General features: G+C 38.0%; 2 long non-coding RNA genes across 3 annotated transcripts in view; one reads left to right on the top strand and one right to left on the bottom strand.

The window, feature by feature from the left end:
• Positions 1 to 23681, bottom strand: part of LINC02932 (long intergenic non-protein coding RNA 2932) — a 204101-nt gene that overhangs the window by 144289 nt on the left and 36131 nt on the right. The gene's annotated exons all lie outside the window — the stretch shown is intronic.
• On the top strand, positions 2496 to 3585 carry LOC107986716 (uncharacterized). Its single transcript, XR_001744967.1, has 3 exons — positions 2496 to 2623; positions 2814 to 2983; positions 3547 to 3585. It is a non-coding gene; the product is annotated as an uncharacterized LOC107986716 (long non-coding RNA).

Raw genomic sequence — 23681 nt, 5'->3', positions numbered from 1 at the left:
CAAAATTTAGTTGCACTCTCTTGGTATGCCTCACATTTTGTGATGACTCTATTGTGTGCTTTCTCTCTACTCCTCACATTGTACCAGAGCTTCTGAAACCCTAAGGTGTGCACAGATCACAGATTGGCTGGACAATTACAACAGGAATGCAGATTCTCATTCAGTATGTCTGAGATGAGCCTGGGATGCAGGTGATGCTGATGGTTCAGGAACTATACTTTGAGTAGCAAGGCTACACATACTGCTCTGCTCTGACCCTTTGGAGTCTGGCCACCTTTACAGGGTTTCCTATATCAATACTGCAAACAATTTTTTTTTCTCAAACAGTGCTCCCTGATATTCTAGGGAACAGTGGGAATTGCTAAAGAGATAGGGTAAGGTCCAGAAGTAGACTCACACAAATACAGCCAGGATACTACCACTCTGGTAGAGCAGTTCCATTTTTATGGGTTTGACATACAGGCTGACCAACATGGAGAAATCCCGTCTCTACTAAAAATACAAAATTATCTGGGCATGGTGGTGTATGCCTGTAATCCCAGCTACTCAGGAGGCTGAGGCAAGAGAATCTCCTGAACCCAGGAGGCGGAGGTTGCGGTGAGCCGAGATTGTGCCATTGCACTCCAGCCTGGGCAACAAGAGTGAAACTCCGTCTCAAAAAAAAAAAAAAAAAAAAAAAATGAAGACGCTCCAATGCTTAAAAAGGAAAAAAAAAAAATCTGAAAATGACAGCTCTAGGCTTTTCCGTCTTCTCTTCATCAAGGAAAGCTATTGCTTGCTGAGAACTTACAGTATGCCAGTCCTACACAAGATTGCCCAAAGTCACACATTTGAGAAGACAAGCTAGGGTCCTAGAGCTGTCTGATTTTACCTAAAGCCTAGGTTGTTCCACATGCACCATTCTTCCTTCCTGTCCTGTTTCTATGCTATGTCCTAGCCTCAGGGGTCTGATACTCTGCTTTCTCTGGTGAGAGTGAGTAACATGAGAAACTATTCAGTATTTGTTAATGGATTCTATAAAGAGAGTGGGAATAAAAGGTCAATATACATGTATCAATATATTTCTATATATAGAAGCAATGAAAATTGGAAACTAAAATTGAAAAATATATACCATTTAAAATCGTTCTAAAAATGAAATAGTTATAAATCTAGCAACTGTAACTGTATAATAACCATAACTAACATGCTATATTTGCTACATGTTCAATTACAAAATGCTAATGAAAGAAATCAAAGAAGATCTAAATAAATGGAGAGACATACAGTGTTCATTGTTTGGAAGACTTAACATAATAAAGATGCCAATTCTCCCAAAGTGAGCTATAGTTTTAAGCAATACCAATCAAAATCCCAGCAATTTTTTTTGTAGATATAAACAAGTTGGCGCTAAAATTTATATGGGAGAAAAGAAATTAGAAAAACTAAAATAATTTTGAAAAAAGAATAATGTTGGAGTTCTTTACGTATAAGTAAAATTTTTAGGACTTACTATAAAGTTACAGTAATCAAAACAGTGGAATGGAATTGGTGAAGAGATAACAAGTGGATCAGAACAAAATAGAGTCCATAAATATACTTATACAAACATGGCCATTTGATCTCTGACAAAGGCAGTTGACAAAAACCATTCAATGAAGAAAGAATACTCTTTTCAATCAATGGTTTTGGAACAATTTATCTTTTTATGTAAAAACATGAATTTGACCTAAATTTCACACTTTATGCAAAGATTAACTCAAAATAGAGCCTAGCTCTAAATATAAAACATGAAACTACAAAACTTTAAGAAGAAAACATAAGAGAAAATCTTTATGACCTGGGGTTAGATGATGAGCCCAAATGACACCAAAAATACCATCCATAAAATAAAAACTGGATATATTAGTCTTCATCAAAATTAAAAATTTTTGCTCTGTTAAGGACATGGTCAAAAGAATGAAAAAATAAGCCACAGACTAGGAGGAAATACTACAAATTACATATCTTACAAAGGTCTTGTATCAGTATATATAAAGAACTCTCAAAACTCAATAAAAAGACGACAACAACATTTACAAATGGGCAAAGGGCTTGAACAGACACTTCACCAAAGAGGATATAAGTATGGCAAATAAGCACATGAAAAGATATTCAACATTATTAGCTATTAGGGAAATGCAAATTAAAACCATGATTCAATACTGCTACATACCTACTAGAATAACTAAAATAAAAATACTAATAATACCAAGTGCTGACCAGGATATAGAGCAACTAAAACTCCCATACATTGCTGGCATAAATGCAAAGTGATATAACTACTTTGGAAAGTGGTTTGGCAGTTTCCTATAAAGTTAACATATGCTTACTAGTGATCCAGCTCTCCCACTCCTGAATGTTCATCCCAGAGAAATAAAAATTTATGTTTCCACAAAAAGCTGAATATGAAAGTTCATAGTAGCTTTACCAGTAAAACCATCTAAATGTTCTGTTGCTTAACAGGTGAATGGTTAAACAAATTGTGGTACATTCCTACAATGAAATACTACTCAGCAATAAGAAGGAATAGACTGTTGATACGTTCAACAAGTTGGGTGAATCTCAAAGACACTATGCTGAGTAAAAGAAGCCATCTCAAAAGGTTATTTATTCTATAATCCCATTTACATGACAAAACTATAGTAATGGAGAACAGATCAGTGGTTGCTAGGGGCTGGAGGAGGGGGAAGTTGTGACTGTAGAATGACAGCATGGAGGAGATTTTGGGGTGTGAGGCATGTGTGCTTTTTATGGTGGTAATTACATATATCTACATGTTTTGAAATTCACAGGGCTGCATACCAAAAGGAACAAAAGCACAAAACAAACAAACAAACAAACAAACAAGCAAATGATGGTGGAAACTATTTTCAAAACTTCCCTGTTCTGGTAAAGACGTTTTCAGAGCTCAAACTAGTCCTGCTGAAAATATTTTTTAAAATATGAAAGCATAGCGGAAAATGTAAGTATTTTGTTCTTTTGGATTTTTCTATTCTAACTACGCAAGTAAATTGATGTAGAAAAGCAAGTCTCCTTTAGTTGGTTTGTGAGTACAGATGAGTGTTTTAACATCCAGATTTGCAGGGGGTAGAGGAACTGAAAGAACTGAGAGTGTTCGTGGCTGGTCCATCCAGACCAACAGGGGACAGAATGTGTTACTCTAATGACTAGAAATTTTGTAGACGAGCAAAAGGCATTCTAATTATCAATTATGTTTATAATACCTATATCCTCTTCCATTAGTCTTATCTGTCAATGTTAATGAGTCAATATAGATAAGATTATGATCATTTCATGTGAATACTTTAACAAAAAGTAATATATTTAAGGACTAAAATTAGGTTGTCAGTTCATTCTATTCCTCTGGTATCCCAAAACTGAGGAGGTGGAGGCTTAGCAATTTGATACTACTGTCCTTAGTGTTAACTGTGAAATTGTAGGTATAACAAACGTCTAGGTCAGGAGTTAGCAAACTACAGTTCTGTGGCCCACAAGCTAAGAATGTCTTTCTATATTTTTAAACAGTTGTATGAAAAAGAAAAAAGAAAAAGAAGGAGGAGGAAGAAGAAGAAGAAAGAAGAAAAAGGAGAGGAAGAAGAAGAAGGAGGAGGAGGAGAAGAAGAGGAGGAGGAGGAGGAGGAAATGGCAGAGACAATGTATGTCCCAGAAAGCCTAAAATGTGTACTGTTTGTCCGTTTATAGAAAAAGTGTGCCAGTCCCTACTCTGTTCCCAATTTTAAAAACAAATAAATAAAAAGAAAAACAAGCAAGTCTCTCAGCCAAGAAAGAATCGATGGGAACTTTTTCAACTTTATAAAGTGGATCTACAAAAAACTACAACTAACACTAACGTCACACCTAATGGTGAAAGTCTGAATGTTTTCCCTCTAAGACTAGGAAAAGGTGGCATGGATGTCCACTCTCCCTACTCTATTCAGCATTGTATCAAAAGTTCTTATCAGTGAAATAAGACAAGAAAACAATAAATGGCATCCATATTGGAAAAGAAGTAACACTGTCTTTATTTGCAGATGACATTATAATCTAAATAGAAAATCTTATGGAATCTGCTAAAAAGCTAATAGAACCAATAAGCGAGTTTAGCATAGTTACAAGACACAACATATAAAAATTAATTATATTTCAAAATACTAGCAATGAACAATTAAATTTTCCTTTTAAAATTTTCAACAACATCAAGACATGAACCACTGGGGGATAAACCCCATGAAACATGGCAGAAAAAAATTCAGGAAGATCCAAATAAATTGAGAGATATACCCTTTTCATGAACTATAGGAATAAATATTATTGAAATACTAATTTTACCTAAATTGATGTACAGATTCAAGGCAATACAACCGAAATCCGAGCAGACTCTTTTGGACAACTTGAAATTGCTCATACATTTTTATAGAAATGTGAAGGGCCTACGATAACCAAAACATCTTTAAAGAAAAGACAAAGTTAGAGGACGTACACTACCTGTTTAAAAGCATAAAGGCAAACAAGGAGAGGTAATGGCCCTCATTGTATTTTTTGATGGTGAAGATAAATTGAAATATGTTTTTCAGCTCTCATATTGCATTTTTAGACACACACAGCAAATGGTGGGTGATGTTTATAAATATCATACTATTTGAGAAAATGTCAAAGTAACTGGGAGTATTTAGCCTGGAGAGAAAAAGAGGGGTTTGTTAAGGAGGCCAGATTACCATGTCAAATAATATGAAGGGCTGTTATAATAGGAGAGATATTTGAGCTATTCTGTGTAGCTTCTGAAGGAAGAGCCTGAACATACAGAAGGCAAAGGCAGACTTGGCTCAGAATAAGGATAAACTTTCTGGAAGCCACCTGTCATGTATGATATGTTGAAACTAGATTACTGTTTCTAAAAGTGTAGTCTGAGGTCTATTTGCATCATAATCTTAGAGAGGTTGTTTAAAAATTTAGATTCCTGGGTCATAATATGAACCATTAATTTTAATCTCTGGGAATGTGACCCAGGTATCTGCACTTTAAAAACCTTTGCAGACGAGTTGTGTATTCATTAAATTTGGAAATTGCTGGTTGAGATGACTGACAGGGATTCTTTTGAATTCAAAGAATCTCTAATTCTCCTTTTCCTTTCCTAAAGGTCTCCTTTTTCATTTTGTTGGGTAAATATGACAGTCTTTCTATAGTTTGCATTTAATTCTTTTTTCCAAACAACTCCATGGCAAATTAAACTTCATAGCATACACTTCGGGAAATGTTTAATAACGGATGACTCAATGTGTTTTCAGGTGTGATTGTTATCATGGTAGAGCATCAAAATTGCTTACCGATTGCTCTCTTTGCTTTAATGTCAGGATTTTAGCAACGCATGGACCAACTGTAGTATAATGTGTAGAAAGAAATATCAAAGTGATAGCCCCACCACAGGGTACATTATGGCCACGACATAGACTGTATGTACTGTGTTGTTGACCCCACGACATAGACTGTACTGGGTTGTTGACCCAGCCTTTTTCTAATGTCACGATGTTACAGGAAAGGGGTCCTGATCCAGACCCAAGAGAGGGTTCTTGGATCTCGCGTAAGAAAGAATTCAGGGCAAATTTATTAAGACAGTAAACAAATAAAAGAATGGCTACTCCATAGAGCAGTCCTGAGGGCTGCTGGTTGCCCATTTTTATGGTTACTTCTTGATGATATGCTAAACAAGGAGTGGATTATTCATGCCTCCCCTCCTCAGACCATATAGGGTAACTTCCTGACGTTGCCATGGCATTTGTAAACTGTCATGGCGTTGGTGGGAGTGTAGCAGTGAGGACAACCAGAGGTCACTCTCGTCACCATTTTGGTTTTGGTGGGTTTTGGCCGGCGCCTTTACTGCAACCTGTTTTATTGGCAAGGTCTTTATGACCTGCATTTTTTGCTGACCTCCTATCTCATCCTGTGACTTAGAATGCCTTCACTGTCTGGGAATGCAGCCCAGTAGGTTTCAGCCTCATTTTACCCAGCTCCTATTTAAGATAAAGTTGCTCTGGTTCACACGCCACTGACAACAACTCTTGACTAGAGAAACCTGCAAAGGAGATCTCTAAATACGGTCCATGAACTAGGGATCACAGTCATAAAAACAGTAACATTTTAATTTTCAAATTTAAAAAGAAACAAACAATTATCACCTGAAATCCAAATATAGACTCATGGCAGGAAGAAACATACCATTTAGCTACATTGCATATACAATTAAATACCTTATAAACATCATTTAAACCATCTCCATCATCACAGCATTCCTGAGTATATAACAGCAGCAGGAAGGATAGGAGCTCTTCCACAAAAAAAAGCAGGGAACAACTTTGCCAATTAACTCAATATTATATACACTTTAAATAGCAAATGCATGCATATCTAAGATTGTTAGGTCTCTGGATGAATTGGTTCTATCATTATGAATTGGACTTCCTTATCTCTCGTAATACTCTTTGTCCTGAAGTCAATTTTGTCTGATATTAATTTGGTTTTACTGGCTTTCTTACATTTAGTGCATGCATGGTACGTATTTTTCAAGCCTTAAGTTTCAACTTCTGTCTTTATACTTAAAGTATCTCTCCTGTAAATAGCATATAGTTGGGTTTTAGTTGTTGTTATTGCTTTTTTTTCCAGTCTGACAATCTCTGCCTATTAATTGGAATAGTTAATTCATTCACATTTCATCTAATTATCAATATGACTGGGTTTAAGTCTATCATCTTTCTATCTGTTTTTTATTGGTCCTCTTTGTTCGTCTTGTGTGTGTGTGTGTGTGTGTGTGTGTGTGTGTGTGTGTGAATCAAATAATTTTTAGCATTTCATTCTCTTTTCTTTGTTGGCTTCTTATCTATACCTATTTGTATCTTTTCCTAGGAATTAATATTAGCCTATCACAGTCTATATTGAATTAATATTGCACTACTTCATGGATAATGTAAGTACCTTGCAACACAGTACAATTCTATTTATACCTTGGCCCTTTTTTTGTGCTATTGTTGTCACACATATTTTACTACTACTTATGTTATAACCCTCCATAATATATCGTTTGTTTTAACTAACAAACTTAGAAAAAATAGTATTTTATAATTACCCACATATTTACCACTTCCAGTGCTCCTCCTTCTTTCCCATAGATCTGAATTTCCAACTGATATCATTTCCCCTTTGAAGAACTTTTAGCATTTTTAGATTTAAACTTTTTTAAAATGTAAAATCTTTAGCATTTTTTTGTAGTCAATTCTCCTGGTGCAAATATTCTCAGATTTTGTCTGCTTGAGAATGTCTTTATTTTGCTTTAATATTTACAAATATTTCACTGGATATAACATTCTAAATGATGAGATTTTTGTTTGTTTGTTTGTTTTTTGAGACAGAGTCTTACTCTGTCACCCAGGCTGGAGTGCAGTGGCACAATCTTGGCTCACTACAGCCTCTGCCTCCCGGGTTCAAGAGATTTCCTTGCCTCAGCCTCCTGAGTAGCTGGGACTATAGGCACATGCCACCACGCCTGGCTAATTTTTCTGTATTTTTAGTAGAGACAGGGTTTCACCATGTCAGCCAGGCTGATCTCAAACTCCTGACCTCAAGTGATCCACCCACCTTGGCCTTCCAAAGTGCTGGGATTACAGGCGTGAGCCACCACGTTTGGTCTAGATGATGAGCTTTTAAAAGCTGTCATTCCATTGTCTCCTGGCTTTCATTGCATTTGACGTCAACAGTTATTCTAATTATTGTCCCTGTATTTAATGTGTCTTTTTTCTCTGGCTGTGTTGATTCTTTTTTCTTTGTCATTGGTTTTCAGTAGTTTGTCTGTGATGTCTAATATTATTGCATTGTAGAAAGAAAATGTGGTTGTGTTATTGATTCTTTAGAATTTCTTGGGACTTCTTTTGTGGTCTGATATGTGGTCATTGTTTTCTATGTGTGCTTGAAAGTAATGTAAATTCTCTATTTCAGGAATACATATTCCCATATAGGTCTCTTTAATCTGGCTTGTTAATTATGGTGTTTAAAATGTCTATATCCTTATCAATATTTGATCAGGTTCTGAAAGAGGCATGCAAAAATATCTTCTATTAAGGTGGATTTGTCCAATTTATTTGATAAGCTAGGAGTCTATTTTGTTAGGAACATACAGACTCAGCACTGCTATTGATACCCTGTGAATTAATCTTTAGTCGTTGAATCATGACCTTCTTTATTCCAAATTAAACTTTTATGCCTTAATATTGCTTTCCTTGCAATGTTAGTCTTTATCTGTTTTGTCTTTTTCCATACCTTTCAACCATTAAGCATTATCATGTTTTAGGTATCCCTCTTAAAAACTACACATAGATGAATTTTATTTTCTAAAAATAATCTGAGGGTCCCCATTTTTGAACACACTAGTTTAATCTGTTCACATTTACTGAGATTACTGATATATCTACACTTTTTCTACTATATGTTTTTTGTGTTTATTATGCCTTTTCTTAGCTTATTTTTCTTTTTCCTGCTCCTTATTAGAGCAATCTAGTGTTCTTCCTTTTTTAAAAACTTTTATTTTAGGTTCAGGGGCACATGTGCAGGTTTGTTATATAGGCCCACTCCTGTCACCAGGGTTTGTTGTACAGATTATTTCATCATCCTGGTACTAAGCCTAGTACCCAACAGTTATTTTTTCTGGTCCTCTCCCTCCCCACTCCCTGCCCCCGACAGGCCTCAGTGTGTTGCTCCTGCTAATGTGTCCATGTGTTCTCATCATTCAGCTCCACTTATAAGTGAGAACATGCAGTGTTTGGTTTTCTGTTTCTGTGTTAGTTTGCTATGGATAATGACCTCAGTTCCATCCATGTTCCTGCAAAGGACATGATCTTGTTCTCTTTTATGACTGCACAATATTCCATAGTATATATGTGCCACATTTTCTTTATCCAATCTGCCACTAATGGACACTTATGTTGATTCCATGTCTTTGCTATTGTGAATAGTGCTGCAGTGAACATTTGCATGCATGTGTCTTTATGATAGAACAATCATATTCCTTTGGGATTTTACTCAGTAATGGGATTGCTGGGTCAAATGGTAGTTCTGTGTTTAGCTCTTTTAGGACTCACCATACTGCTTTCCGCAATGATTGAACTAATTTACACTCCCAACAATAGCATATAAGTGTTCTTTTTTCTCCACAACCTTGACAGCATCTGTTATTTTTTGACTTTTAGTAATAGCCATTCTGACTGGTGTGAGACGGTATCTCATTACGGTTTTGATTTGCATTTCTCTAATGATCAGTGATATTAAGCTTTTTTCTTCATATTTCATTTCATTTCTTCTGGTTGGCCACATGTATGTCTTCTTTTGAAAAGTGTCTGTTCACGTCCTTTGCCCACTTTTTAATGGGGTTGTGTATTTTTTTTCTTGTAAATTTGTTTAAGTTCCTTATAGATGCTGGATATTAGACCTACATCAGATGCATAGTTAGCAAATATTTTCTCCCATTCTGTAGGTTGTCTGTTTACTCTGTTGATATTTTCTTTTGCTGTGAAGAAGTAGAACAATCAAGTGTTTTTTAATCTTTTTTTCTCACGTAAAAGAAGTCCTACATTTCCCCCTATTCTTTGAGGGTTACTCTTAAATTTTGGAAAGCACACTTGCTTAAAGTCTAAAGTAAACCTAAGTCTATCTTCCTCCCAAATAATTAAATGAATTTGGACTTTGTAATTTTAGTCTCTCTTAATCCCTTTGTTCCTGCTGTTGTCATCTAGCATTTTAGTTACTTGCTATTTACATAACCCCTTAACTGATCCTCTTTAAAACAAACAGTGCTTCTTAGAGTTACAAACATGTTTACAAATTTCTTTGTTCATCATTATTCCTTCTTGCACCCCACTTTGTATTTTGGGATTAAACTTCCTTTTTCCAGAAGTATATATATTATGAGTTCTTTGGTGAAGTCCTCAAGTTGATAAATTCTCTCAACCTTTGTTTCTCTAAAAATGCCTCTTTATTTCACCCCACCTTTGAAGAGTAATCTAGTGTGGTATATTATTCTTAGCTAATACCCATTTTCCCTAAGCATTTTGAAGATAATATTTTGTCATCTCGTGGCATCTGTCGTTGCTAATATGGAGTCTGCTGTCAGTTTAATTTGCAGTTTTCTACATGGACAATCCCAAATTATCTTATAAACTTTTTATATTCTTTTATTCCACACATTCCTAAGCAGTGCCTCTTAACCTTTTTTTTAAAGAAGGGGTTTTGCAGAGTCCTGTGAGAATCTGATAGCTGAAGTCACCCATACATTCCCCTCCGTACAAGATCAGGAGGTTCAGAGATCACTTGAAGTCTATCTTTGAATCCTCTTAAGAACTTCTGCCGAGAATTGCTCTAAAACCAACAAAAAGTATTCAAAAAATATATTTGCTAAGTTAATTAATTAATGGACATAGGGTATGGATGGACATCTGGATGGGTGAATAAATGAATCCTGGGTAATCCTAGGGAAAAGTCATGATTTCAGACATCCTACCTGTTACTCCTGTTAACATTACTGATGGCTATTTCTTAGTCTATTAATGCAGATGCTATAATTTGAATACAAAAATGAAATGAATATCACTTCTTAGAGATACATTTGTACTTCAAGGTGACAATTTGACTATTAATAAAAATACCCTGCTGAAAAGATAAACAGTGTTTGCTTTTTAAAGTTTGCAGAGCATTTCCATATACATTCTTTTAATTCATTTAATTATCAAGTAAACCTAGTGAGTTAAGTATTTTTGCCCTCATTTTTTGCAACTGAGGAAGCCAAAACCATGGAGAAAATTTTAGTGATTTGCTTAAAATTTTATAACCAGCTAGCTGGATTCAATGCAGGTTTTCATTTTATTCTCTCTTTCTCTTTGCCTGCTCTTACATTCTCCATTCCTCTGCAACTTAGTCATTTTGGGCTCCTATAACAAAGTACCATATGCTGGGTGGCTTTTAAGCAACAGAAATTTATTTCTCACAGTCTGGAGGCTGGTATTCTAAGTCAGATTCTAGTGCAGTCGAGTTCCGGTGAGGGCCTATTTCCTGATCTGTAGATGGCCGTCTCCTTACTGTGTCCTCATGCAGTAGAGGAGACAGAGAGCTCTCTGGGGTCTCTTGTATAAGGGCACTAATCCCATTCATGAGGACTCCACCAATTATCTACCAAAGGCCTTACCTCCTTATGCCGTCACATGGTAGGCTTAGGATTTCAATGTATGAATTTTGGGGGACACAAACATTTAGTCTACAGTACCCTTGCCTCAGAGCTGCTAGACACCAGTAAGAGGCTATAAGAATTTGTATGCCCCAGCAAGGGCAGCCATATATTAAGAAGCAGGGCATCACCAGGGCTCCAAAGTGCTACCTCAGACCTGGGCAGCGCTTGAGCATGCTCCACTTGGACTAAAGAAAAAAGAAAGAATCCACCTGGGGTGATTCTCTGGGATGCATGCTGTGGGTGCATGCATCAGAGCTGGAGAGGAACACAGAGTGGGCGATAAACATCCAAGGAGGCTTCTCCTACCCACTAAATGATCTCGAATTATGACGGCTCCCTCCATTATGCTGCTATCTCTGACCCTATCCTTTATTCACTAAGTCATATTGTTGGGGTCCTTTCCATTAGACCTACTGTCCACTCTTCTCCTTACTCTACACTGCCCTTTAAAATTTAGCCTGCATCAGTTAGAACTCTTCAAAACATTTATCCCAGCTTTCCTCTAGTGCTGATAGGGTGCAAGTTGGTACAACCTTTCAGGAAAAGTGTTTGGTAGTATCTAATACAGCTGAAGATATGCACACCCCACAACACAGCAATCCCCTTCCTAGAGATCTGAGTGAAATGTGCTCATATGTTCACCAACAGATATGGACAACACCATTCACAGCAGCTTTATTCATAATATCACCAAACTGGAAACTATCCAAACACCATCAATAGTAAAATGATAGATAAATTGGGGTAGCATATTTACTCAATGGGATGCTATACAACAATAAGAATAAGCAAATTACAGTATAGATGAATCTTACAAACATGGTGAACAAAATCGGCTACACAAAAGAGCACACACTGTATGATTTCATTAAAATTTAGCACAAAACTGATAAAATTAGTCTCTGCTGATAGAGGTTAGGACAGTAACTACCCTTGGAGGGAACAGAAACAAAAAGAAGGGATAAGGGAGGCTTTTGGGGTCCTGGTAATATTCTGTTCCTTGCTGTGGGTGCTGCTTACATGAGGGTGCTCAGTCTGCGGACTGTGCAATGATGATATATTTACTTCTTTATATGCGTATTATGTACCTAATAGGGAAAATATTTATCTCTGCCCAAACTTAATTTAAATATACCTGTTTAAGTCTTATATATACCATACAAGTGTACATTGATTTGAAGGCCCTTATTCATTCCCTCAAAAAAATCAAAGTCGCTATTGTTATCTACCAGCTGGGTCAGGAGCTATGCCTTTAACTTGTTCATGTCATGAGATGTTATGTTAGTGCCCTCCCACCAAACCACGCCAAGATCAGTAAAGGAATTATGTAAATACAATAGGCAGCACTGATGAAACAGCAATTATATATCTTAGCAGCTGTGTGCTTCTGTTCATGTTAATTAGCCAGAAAATTGTTTGCATAATGATTTTATGAAGCATTTGGTGATTTAACCATTTAATTCTGAAGACTTATCCAAAAGTCATTAAACCATTTAAAGTGGTAGAGATCATAGTTGGTGCTATTTCAGCAAACTTAACAAAACCCAAATGGCCTCAGAATTCCATGGATCTCTTCTGTGTAACCAATCATTGCAGCTGGCAGGTCTGTGCTGGCTTTTGCTTTTTAAATTTTTATTATTTTCCCTCTAAAGGACATGTGTGTCAACTCTGTTAAAATGATATACAACCAAAATGAGTTCTTGGGCCTGCCACTACGCTTTCTGATTAGATCAAAGTACACATGAATCACTGACTTGGTTATTAAATCCATGTGCTTCATTCCTTATTTGTGAATAGGAGACATTAAGAAAGAGAAATCAAGAGAGGTTACAAAGGCAGAGGCAAAAGCAAAGAAGGGAAAATTGACCTTGGAGATTTGTTTGAAAAGTACTTATGGCCCACCAAAAGTATAGCCAACTTTATAATATTTTGGTAGCTTTTCTGCATGTTGCTAATGTCATCATAACAATATAGTTCATGACATAAAGCTTCAGTAGGGAATATTTTGTATTCCTTTTTCTTTTGACTTAGAGGAAAAACTCAATGCTTTATATCTGGCAAGATACTGAGGTAAGTCATTGATGGAGGCATTGGGCTTGGGGTCTGAATACTCGTACAGTATTTAAGTCCTAACTAGGTCCCTCTCATAATGTATAACCTCTCAAAGGCTCAGTTCTTGCTTCTCAAATGGGAACACTGGAAGCAATTAGAGTGGAGCTTAGAGTTCAGATTAGAATCAGACTGCATATGCTCACATCTCAGCTCTGCTCTTACTAGCTCTATGACCTCAAGCTTGTTGTCACTTAACCTTGCTGCACCTCTGGCTAATTTTAACAATATCTGACTCATCTAGTGGTTGAGGATTCATCTTGTCCAGTTGTGCTACAATAACAAAATACCTGAGACTGAATAATTTACAGACAACAGAGGTTTATTTCTTACAATTATGGAGGCTGAGAAGTCTAAGATCAAGGTGCAGGCATTGGGTGTCTGGCGAGGGCCTTCTTGGTGCATCCCTACATGACAAAAGAGATGGAAGGAATGAACTGGCCCTTTCAAACCCCCCTTTTTTTTTTAATTGTACTTTAAGTTCTGGGATACCTGTGCAGAATGTGCAGGTTTGTTACAGAGGTATACATGTGCCATGGTAATCAAACCCTTTTATAAGACATTAATTCCATCCATGAGGGTGTTGTCTTATGACTTAATCACCTCCCAGAGCCCCACCTCCTTATACTATGCCCATTGGCAATTAAGTTTCAACATATGAATTCTGGGGCACACATTCAGACCATAATAGGATTAGATGAATTATGGGAACACATATGGGAACTCTAAGAGCTGCCTGGCACAGAATAAGCACTTTATAAGTGATTTCTATTGTTATTTTTACATCTGTTGTTTGGGAAAATAACATTTTCTGTGTGAAAGTGCAACTTAAACTGTAAATTTTAGAAAAGATGATTCCCGTAATCCTGTAATTTGTCTAAGGATGACCCATTTGTGATTCCCTAGGGAAAAAGTCAGAAGTTGAAAATTAAATATACTAAACACAAGTTCAAATTAGTGCATCTTAGGGAAGAAAACTCAACTGCATAGCCGCCATCAATTAATTACATCTTCATAAGAGCCCAGCGCAGGCACAGCTCAGCTGGAAGATAGCAACTGAACAGTTAAATCCAGGAAGGGAACAAAAGATGGGCAACTATTGTTCAAGAAACAGAGGGTCTGCCATTTTTAAAATTACCCCTTGGGAGTCACTGCTAATGGGTATGGGCTTCTTTTTAGAGTGATGAAAGTGTTCTAAAATTGATTGTGGTCACGACTACACAACTCTGTGAATATACTAATTCCATCAAATTGTACACTTCAAATGAATGAATAGTATGATATGTGAACTATATCTCAATAAAGCTATTTTTTTTTAAATCCTACCCCTCGAACTTCAATTCATATCACAGGTTTCCTTTTTAAGAAACACATGAAAAGAGAATGCATTTGGCCTCTTCTGGAGTGGTGAGGCTGCTGGCACCCAGGCTGAGCTCAGCAGCTCCAGCTCTGGCCTTCTAGGTGATGATGGCAGGTACTGCAGATCCTGGCAGCCTAAAGTCCCCACCGGACCATGAGCACACAGAAAAGAATGTTAACTTCTTCCTTTTTTCTTTTTTTCTCATTTGTTTGTAAATGAGAGCAGGGTTTGAAAGGAAAAGGCTGACCCCACGGGTGTGTGTCCTGCTCATTACGTCAGGTGGCAGTCGGAGGGAAAGAGCAGGGGCCAGCACCCAGGGGACTGTGGTGGTGGGCAGCCTCTCAAATGGGACAGGAGTTCCTCTTGAGAAGAGATGTCTGTCTGTCTGTCGTGTTTATGGTACAACCTCTCCCAAGCTGTTTGCATTTCCACAGGGTCTTTTGAAGAATAAAGTGACTGAGCTCTTGCATGGTAGCAGGGGGTCATTCTAATGCTCACTCTAGTCTCCCATTCAGACAGGGGCTCAGAGCTTTGACTTCTGCCGGAGGTGAAAGTTAGTGACTTCCAATGTAAACAATGAGAAACCATCATAAAGACATCCACAGACATGAAAGAAACAAAAGCTCTGCAGGTAGAGCCCCCCAAACAAAGCACCAGACCCCATTCTCAGGGCATAAGACTAGATTCTCTGGAGGCTGCCAGGGGCCCAGTTTGTCCCAACTTCCAAATTGGAGGACTATTTGAAACATTTCTTTCCCAGTGAGAGTGGAAGGAATCTTTAAAGACATAGTGAGCTCCTAAGACACCCAGAGAGAGCAAGCCTGGTCTCAGGGTATCAGGGCTCTGTCATGGGGGGTTGCCTCGTGTGCCACAAAGTGCACCCTTCTTATATGTGGCTTTCTGGGGAGATGAGCTTTAATTAATAGTATATCTTTGTTGTGTTTAGCCAAACGTTACAAAAGGGTCAAATTCTAAAATGTTTTAAAAGATAAAACTAGTGGGTACAAGTTTGAGGAGAAACACAATGTTTACATGGTCCCAAAGTATCTCTCCACAAGATTTTTATTAATTACAAAAAGAACAATAACATCAAGAATAGGAAAAACTAGGCTGGGTGCCATGGCTCATGCCTATAATCCCTGCACTTTGGGAGGCTGAGGTGGGAGGATCACTTGAGGCTAGGAGTTCGAGACCAGCCTGGGCAACATAAGATGACTCCATCTCCATCAAAAATAAAAAATTAGCCAGGTGTGGTGGTTCATGCCTATAGTCCCAGCTACTTGGGGATGCTGAGGCAGGAGGATTGCTTGAGGCCAGGAATTCAAGACTGCAGTGAACTATGATTATGGCAATGCACTCCAGCCTGGGTGACAGAGCAAGACCCTGTCTCAAAAAAAAAAAAAAAAAATCTCTAACATGATAAATTGACATCAAGTGTGATAATACACTGAGAAAGAGCCAACATATCTTCTGTGATATTCCTGCCAAATATGTGTAACCTGAAAATATTTATGAAGAAGCATTAGGCAAACCCAAATTAAGGGACATTCTATAAAACAGCTGGTTTATATTCTTCAAACATGTTAAGGTCCTAAAGGACAAAATTAAAAAAAAAAAAAAAAAGGAAGAGTTCAAGATTAATAGAGACTAAAGAGATCCAAGGCAATGCCTGATCCTAGATTGGATCCTTGATCCTTTTGCTATAATGTCTATTGCTGGGACAGTAGTGATTTGAATAAGCTCTAAAGATTAGATAACAGTGTAGCAGTGTTAACCCCTTAATTGTAATAATTGTACTGTGTTTATGTAAGAAAAGCACCCTTGTTTTTTTAGGACATATACACTGATGTATAGGGGTAAAGAGATATGATATCTGCAACCTGCTCTCAAAAGGTTAGACAACAGTAATGATGACAATTGTATATAATTAGAGAGAGAAAATGGGAAAGCAAAACTGCTAACCTATTAACATTTGAAGAATCTGAGTGAAGGATACATCGGATCCTTTGTACTATTATTGCAACTTCTTTGTAAGTTTGAAATATTTCAAAATAAAATCCTTTTTTAAAAAACATTACATTTTCCAGGAGAAAAAAGTGAAATGAATTCTACATGGCTTTTGGAGTCTTTACAGACAAAAATGAGTTTTGTCTGTAAAGACTCCAGAAGCGGGATGCAGATTTGGATAAAGCAACCCTTCTGGAGGCTCCCCATGCTGCACTGGATCTCTGTTGGAGCTTTGGAATTCCAGAGGTCTCTTCCACATGGCTGCTCTGTGGGTTGCCAGACTCATCCTTCCCTGAAGGGAGATTATCTGTTTAATGGTTAGGAGAATGTGAAACACTCCCTTGACACTCAGCATTTGGAAATAATATCTAATGTGATAGAGAGTCTGGGTACCCTGTCCAAGGAAATTATTTCCCATCCTTCTGTGCAAGACATCGAAGAACTATTGTTTGGACTATTAAGGTAATGAGATGCAGATGAGAACTTAAATTACAATGCTATATATAGACTCTTGAAATGTTTTCTTACTGGATTTTAGCTACCCCTGTCCTTTTCTTGCCTAATTTTCTCTTTACTTGTTTTATGTTTATGAGTTCATTAGCTGCTATTGTCATGACACTGTGGGAAGAGGCTTAAGGACTTTGTCATTTGTCATTTGACAAATGCTTTTAGGAACTTCAACACATCATTCTGCCCCCTCCACCTCCCCCACCCCGCCGCCACTCCCTACCCTCCTGCCCCAAGTCATATTTCTAACTGGTGGAAAAAAAAAAATAGAGAAAGGAAGGGAAGGAAAGAGAAGAGAATTAACAAGTGATTTACATCAATATCTCATTTAATCTTTGCACAATCTTGGAAGGCAGGTGGCAATATTTATTGACAGATGGAACTGAAATTCTAAGAAGTTAAAAAGTGGCCAATGCCTTACAAACCACACAGAGAACAGCGAGATTCAATATTGAAGTTTTTCTACCTCTGGAGCCTATGGTGTTTCCACTTTACTATTTAATACCAATAAAATCTCATTCACCGAGTTCTCTTTAAAAATAACATTTTTGAGCTGGGCATGGTGGCTCATTCTTGTAATCCTAGCACTTTGGGGGGCCAACGGGGGTGGATCACTAGGTCAGGAGATCAAGACCAGCCTGGCTAATGTGAAACCCTGTCTCTACTAAAATTACAAAAATTAGCCAGGTGTGGTGGCGGGTGCCTGTGGTCTCAGCTACTCAGGAGGCTGAGGCAGGAGAATTGCTTGAATCCGAGAGGTGGAGGTTGCAGTGAGCCAAGATTGCACCACTGCACTCCAGCCTGGGTGACAGAGCGAGACTCCATCTCAAAAACAAAACAAAACAAAACAAACAAAAAAACAAAAACCAAAAAGCAAAACAAAACAAAACTTTTTTCCCCTGATTCTGAGGAGATTATATAGCAGAAAGCATAGAAAACTTAGAAAATACAGAAAAGCACAGTAAACAAAATTCAATAATTCTATCACCCACAGTTAATCTTCTTGCATTCTTGATAATGATTACATTTTAAAACATCATTCATGAGCTAACAAACTTTTGGAAAACTGTTTTTAAAAACTTTTTATTCTTATTTTTAGTAGTCTTACAACTCAATATACAATTATTTTTCTATATATTTATATTATTATGTTTACCATGAGTGAAATTTTAGAATCTCAAAAACACTTAAATTTTCTACCTTCAATGGTAATATATTTTTTCTTAATATTTTTCAAAAGCATGACCTTATGAATATTACTTACACAGGACAATTTAAACATCTTCTAACTTGCTAACAATACTAATATTAACGTTGATGTAAATAAAGATGTTTATGGTGACATAAAGCTAGAGAAAAAAAAATCAAAACAAAAGAGTCCCTAATGTTATAGATGGAATTTTATCCTCCCCTCAAATTATTCTGTTGAAGCCCTACCCCCCACTACCTCAGAATGTGTCTGTATTTGAAGACATGGCCTTTAAAGAAGTAATTAAGTTAAAATGAGGCCATTAGGGTGGGCCCTAATCCAATCTGAATGGTGTTCTTATAATAATAAAAGGAGATTAGAACACGCCAAGGAAGACAACCAGGGATGTGCAGGCACAGAGAAAAGGCCATGTGAGGACACAGCCTGGAGGGGCAGCCGTGTGTGAGCCAAGGAGAGGGACGTCAGGAGAAACCAAATCTGTGGACACCTTGATCTTGGACTTCCAGCCTTCAGAACTGTGAGGAAATACATTTCTTTTGTTTAAACCACCCATTGTGCGGTATTTTGCTATGCCAGCCTGAGCAGACTAATAGACCTAATAATATGTGCCCTCCTCATATTTTCAGAGCACTTACATTTCTTATTTTAATCGCTTATTTAGTTTTTTGTCCTTTCTGTTAGCCTGCCAGCTGTGTGCAAGTAGGGGCAGTGTCTGCCTTGATAGCTACTATTTATCAAGAGTTTTACTTCCCTTACCACATTTAACCTCACCCTAAGCATGGAATAAGTATCTTCATCTTCATTCCACAACTGAGGGCTTGAAGCATGGAAAGGTTAAATAACTTACCCAAAATACCAGTTGCAGTTGGACCTGCACATAGTGTTTGGAACGTAACAGCATTCGATACATGTGGGTTGAATAAATGAATAAACAAATAAGTTAAGTTATGGAAGCAAGATTCAAATACAGGTGTGTCTGACTCCAGTGCTCATGCTTCTAAACCTGCACTGTCTTCGGCTTGGATACAAGCATATTATCAGGGCTGCTACTGTGCCAGGGACACCATAAGCACTCAAAAATGCCTGTTAAATAAATAAATGACTGAATGAGTCACAACCTGTCTGAACTGTAGTTTCTCATGAATAATACCACCTACTTTCATCTTGCAGTTGTCATAGGGTATAAATAGGACATGAAAGGCAAATGAAAACTTCATTCTTATTATCACCTTATTTTAAAATTATTAATAGCACAGTCTTCAGAGTCACACTGATCTGGGTTTGAAACATAGGATGAACATTTAATGGCTGTGTGACCTAGGACACATTATGTAATCTCTCTGTGCCTCAGTTTCTTCATCTATAAAGTGGAGATGATGGCACCTACTTCATAAGGTTAATGAAAGAATAAATGATACCTATTACACATAAAGCATTTAGCATTAATGAATGGTAACTGCTTTATTATTTTTAAACTAAAGCACAAAGCTTAAGAAAAGTCTAATCTTATTGATAAATAAACCAATGAGAATTAAACAATTCCTCTCACTACAAATTGGTAAGAGCTAAATCTCCTATAGCACCGTAGAACTGATATGTCATTTGAGAGGAATTCCATAGAAAGTGTCCTCTGTCCCCATCAGCCCCAGACACCCCTGAGAACAGAGTTTCTGAGAGGAGAGGGTACATTCCCAAGCCTTCCTGGTCTTGGGAGCAGTGGCCATAAGCTGAAACCAAGATGGCCTTGTCACACACACTAAATCCAACAAGACACTACTACTTAAGGAGAAGTTTTAAAAACAAACAAAAGACCGCTTCTGAGAACTTCCTTTCTACTTTTATGTCCAGGCCAATGATCCCTAATTTTGTGTATTTATGGCTTACATAAAAGGTTGCAAGCTCTCCTGACCATGAGCATTTGGAGAGTCTCCCATCATTAATGAAGATAGTAGCACCAGGGAACCCATGGTTCAGAAGTCAGGCTAATTAAAAATAGCACCACATTTATTGGTGGTAACAATCCAAACCTAATATTGGGTATTGTGCCCATTTCAAACAAATTAAATTTCAGTGGGGAAAAGTGCATTTTAGGTAATCCAGGCTGGAACTTTTTTTTCAGATATGAGATCTCCTCCACCTGACAGGGATATGGAAATATCAACTTTCTGAACTAAAGAATAAGATGAACTACATGACCTTGAAAGTCCCTTTTAACTAAAGGCTTAATGATAGGAGGATCTGTGTTTGTGTTTATTTGTTTCACCTGTGCTGCTAACCTGGCTTTCTAAACTGGCACTCAGTTTTTCTGTATCCAAAAAAAGCAGTGATGAAAACACCTACACAGTGATGAAAGGAAATTTTGAATATGACACCAATACATCAGTCCTTCTCAGCTACCTTGTCTAAACAGCATACATAGTGGTCAAGAGAATGTTCAGGGCCAGACAGTCCTAGAACTGAGTTTGAATTCTACTACTTTCTAGCTGTGAGATATTGGGCAGGTTATTAAATCTCTTTAGATCTTCTTCCCTCCTCTGTATAATCAGGGCAATTATAAATAATCATTGAAGATAATTCAATGAGACAATGTATATAAAGTGTTTTGCACAGTTCTTGACATATGGTAAGTGCTTAACAAATGTTTTCTCTTATCTATAAATGCTGGGATCAAAGTGGGTAGATAGTATCCCATAGTGAAACAGTATAAGTTCTGGAGTAACACAGGAACAGGTCAAATCTTGGCATGGTTTTTCTACTTACAAATTTTGTGATTTCCTGCAAGTAACAAACTACGAGCCTTAGTGTCTTCATTTGTAATTATTCAAACCCAGATCTGTTTGACTCAAAAGCTTATGCTTTCAATTACTACGCTACAGGGGTGAACATGATACCTGCAGGGTTGATATTTGTATAACCCTTTGTAGTGAAATTGACATCTAGAATAAACTCAAGTAGTAGTAGAAATAGCAGTAATTATTGCTTCCGTCATGCTCTTCTTCATCTTTATCATTCAGTGGCCTAGGATGCAACTGTAAGGTAAAGCCAGGCTACCTGAGAAGGTGATTGGGGTTGAGCTGATAGAGACCCAGCATAAGGCAGCCTGCATAGCAGAGTAAGACCCAGATGGTCACTACCCCTCCAGCTCAGGTTGTCCATTCATTCAGTGGAGATAATGGCAGGGGAAAGGAGTATCACAGGTTTGCTTGTGTGTTGCCTCCTCTGATGAAGGAGAAATGTCTGTGAAAACCAGGAAGGTCTCTTCCAGCTTTTACATTCTCAAATTTGATATCTAATGAAACCACCATTTAGAATACTCTGATTCTGAGCCACTTAACCTCTCCAACCCTGTTTTGTCACCTCTCAAATGGTGGTAATACTGTGTACCTCTGTGCTCCTGGCAGGGGACACTTACTCCTGTGTGTCCTGAATGCCTTGGGCAGTGCCTGACCTTAGTTATGGTGAGGACATAATTTCATGCTTGTTGAATACTAAAGAAATGGTGGGGGCAGAGGCAGAGGTATAGATTCCTGCAGAGGCATCTACCCTCTTACTGTTAACAAACAACTCCTTTTGGATAAATCAAAACCCAGAACTGAGGCCACTCACCAGCTCTCTTGCTGTGAAAGCCCTGCAGCTCCCCACAGAAGAAGTCTCTTTAAGAGTGAAGAATGCCAAGCATGTCTCCATGCTCTTAGATGCAGAGGAAACTGGCCTGCAAAGTTTGAAAAATGGTGCAAAAACTCAGCACCTCTGAATTCCCCAGAGGAAATCCTGCTCAGCTTCCTCTCTGGTGCTTACCAGATTGGAATGTAATACCCAGGAGTGGCTTTTTGCTTGACCATAACAGCAAGGTCCAGCCCCCTTAAGTGTTTCTCCATGCTGTCCAGCAGCCAGCCACTGGAATTTTTTTGTTTTTGTTTGTTTATTTGTTTGTTTTGCATTAATGAAACTGTAGCCTCTGGTTTTGTGTTTCTACTTCACATTTTCCCTTTCCCCCCAGTCCACATCGTCATCATTCATTGCCTTTATTAAGGGCCCATTTGCTGGGCATTTGACTGTCTGCGCATGACAGTGGATATAGGCACCACTTCATCTCTAACAGATAGGAAATCACTCCCCACACATAAGACCCACTATGGTCTTACCTAGTTCCTGATGTCCCCTCCCTATCAACACACACACACACACAGACACACACTCACACCCCAGTCTCACAATTCACTATTTTCAGCTGGTTAATCTACAAATGTTTAACTAGAGATTGAGAGCACATTAAAGCCATTTTTAGTCCAGATTCTCCTGCCAATTCTTTAGGGATGGTGGAGTCAGAAGCAGGCCCTTGGAATACATTTGTTTCTGGAGGGTGGCTTGTAAGAAGGAAGGCTGAGACAAAGATCTGGAACAAGAAGCAAGCCTAAAATACACCATTATGAGAAGATGTGGGGGAGGGAGTGTCTTTAAAGTCACGCTACCTTCCTCCAGACCCAGCCTGCCTCTGCCTTTGAGATTATTTGCAATAGGATCAAGATTATCATCCCCAAAATTGAGCACAAATAGAAACAACATTGAAAATAAAGTCAATGTGGGTGACAGCATTTCTTGAGGCAAAATCTTCCATACCAGATACGAGAATGTATGTCCCCGTTAGCCAAGGCCAAACAGTTCTCAGGGCTGCATGAAACCAAGGCATGGGTGCAGCTTTGGAGGGACAGTTCTTGAGCTCTGGTCACAGCTTTCCATCCACACTGCCCAGTGTACTTGGAGACATCCCTGAAGGAGGTGTAGGCCAACAGGAAGCCCCTGCTGGCTTGACCTCATGCTCCCAAAAACGTGCAGTAGCATCAGGACTGGAAAGGTAGGGAAGAGCAAAATTGAGGAAGAGACAATAACTTTCTTCTGGTAAGAAAATAGATTTTCTGTTGAACTGCTCTTAGAGTGTCCACAATCTCATTATTGATTTCCTGGGGCAAAGCCTTGGGTCGCAATGTTTTCGTTTCTAATGCAGCCTCACAATCCTCTTACCACACCTTCATCTGGGTGGATGGCAGTGCCATCTTAACCCTGATTTCCTAATGGCATATTTCTTCTTATTGCCCTTGTGTGAAATGACAGTTCTCTTTTTGGCTTGGTTTCCAAGGAGCCGGAAATCCTGCTGTCTGACTTCTTGAACTAATGAGTTCACTACTGGGACAGCACAAACAAAGACT

This window comes from Homo sapiens, chromosome 7 (genome assembly GCF_000001405.40).
Source record: "Homo sapiens chromosome 7, GRCh38.p14 Primary Assembly".
NCBI classification, from domain to species: Eukaryota; Metazoa; Chordata; class Mammalia; order Primates; family Hominidae; genus Homo; species Homo sapiens.
This window is presented reverse-complemented; position numbering and strand designations above follow the sequence as displayed.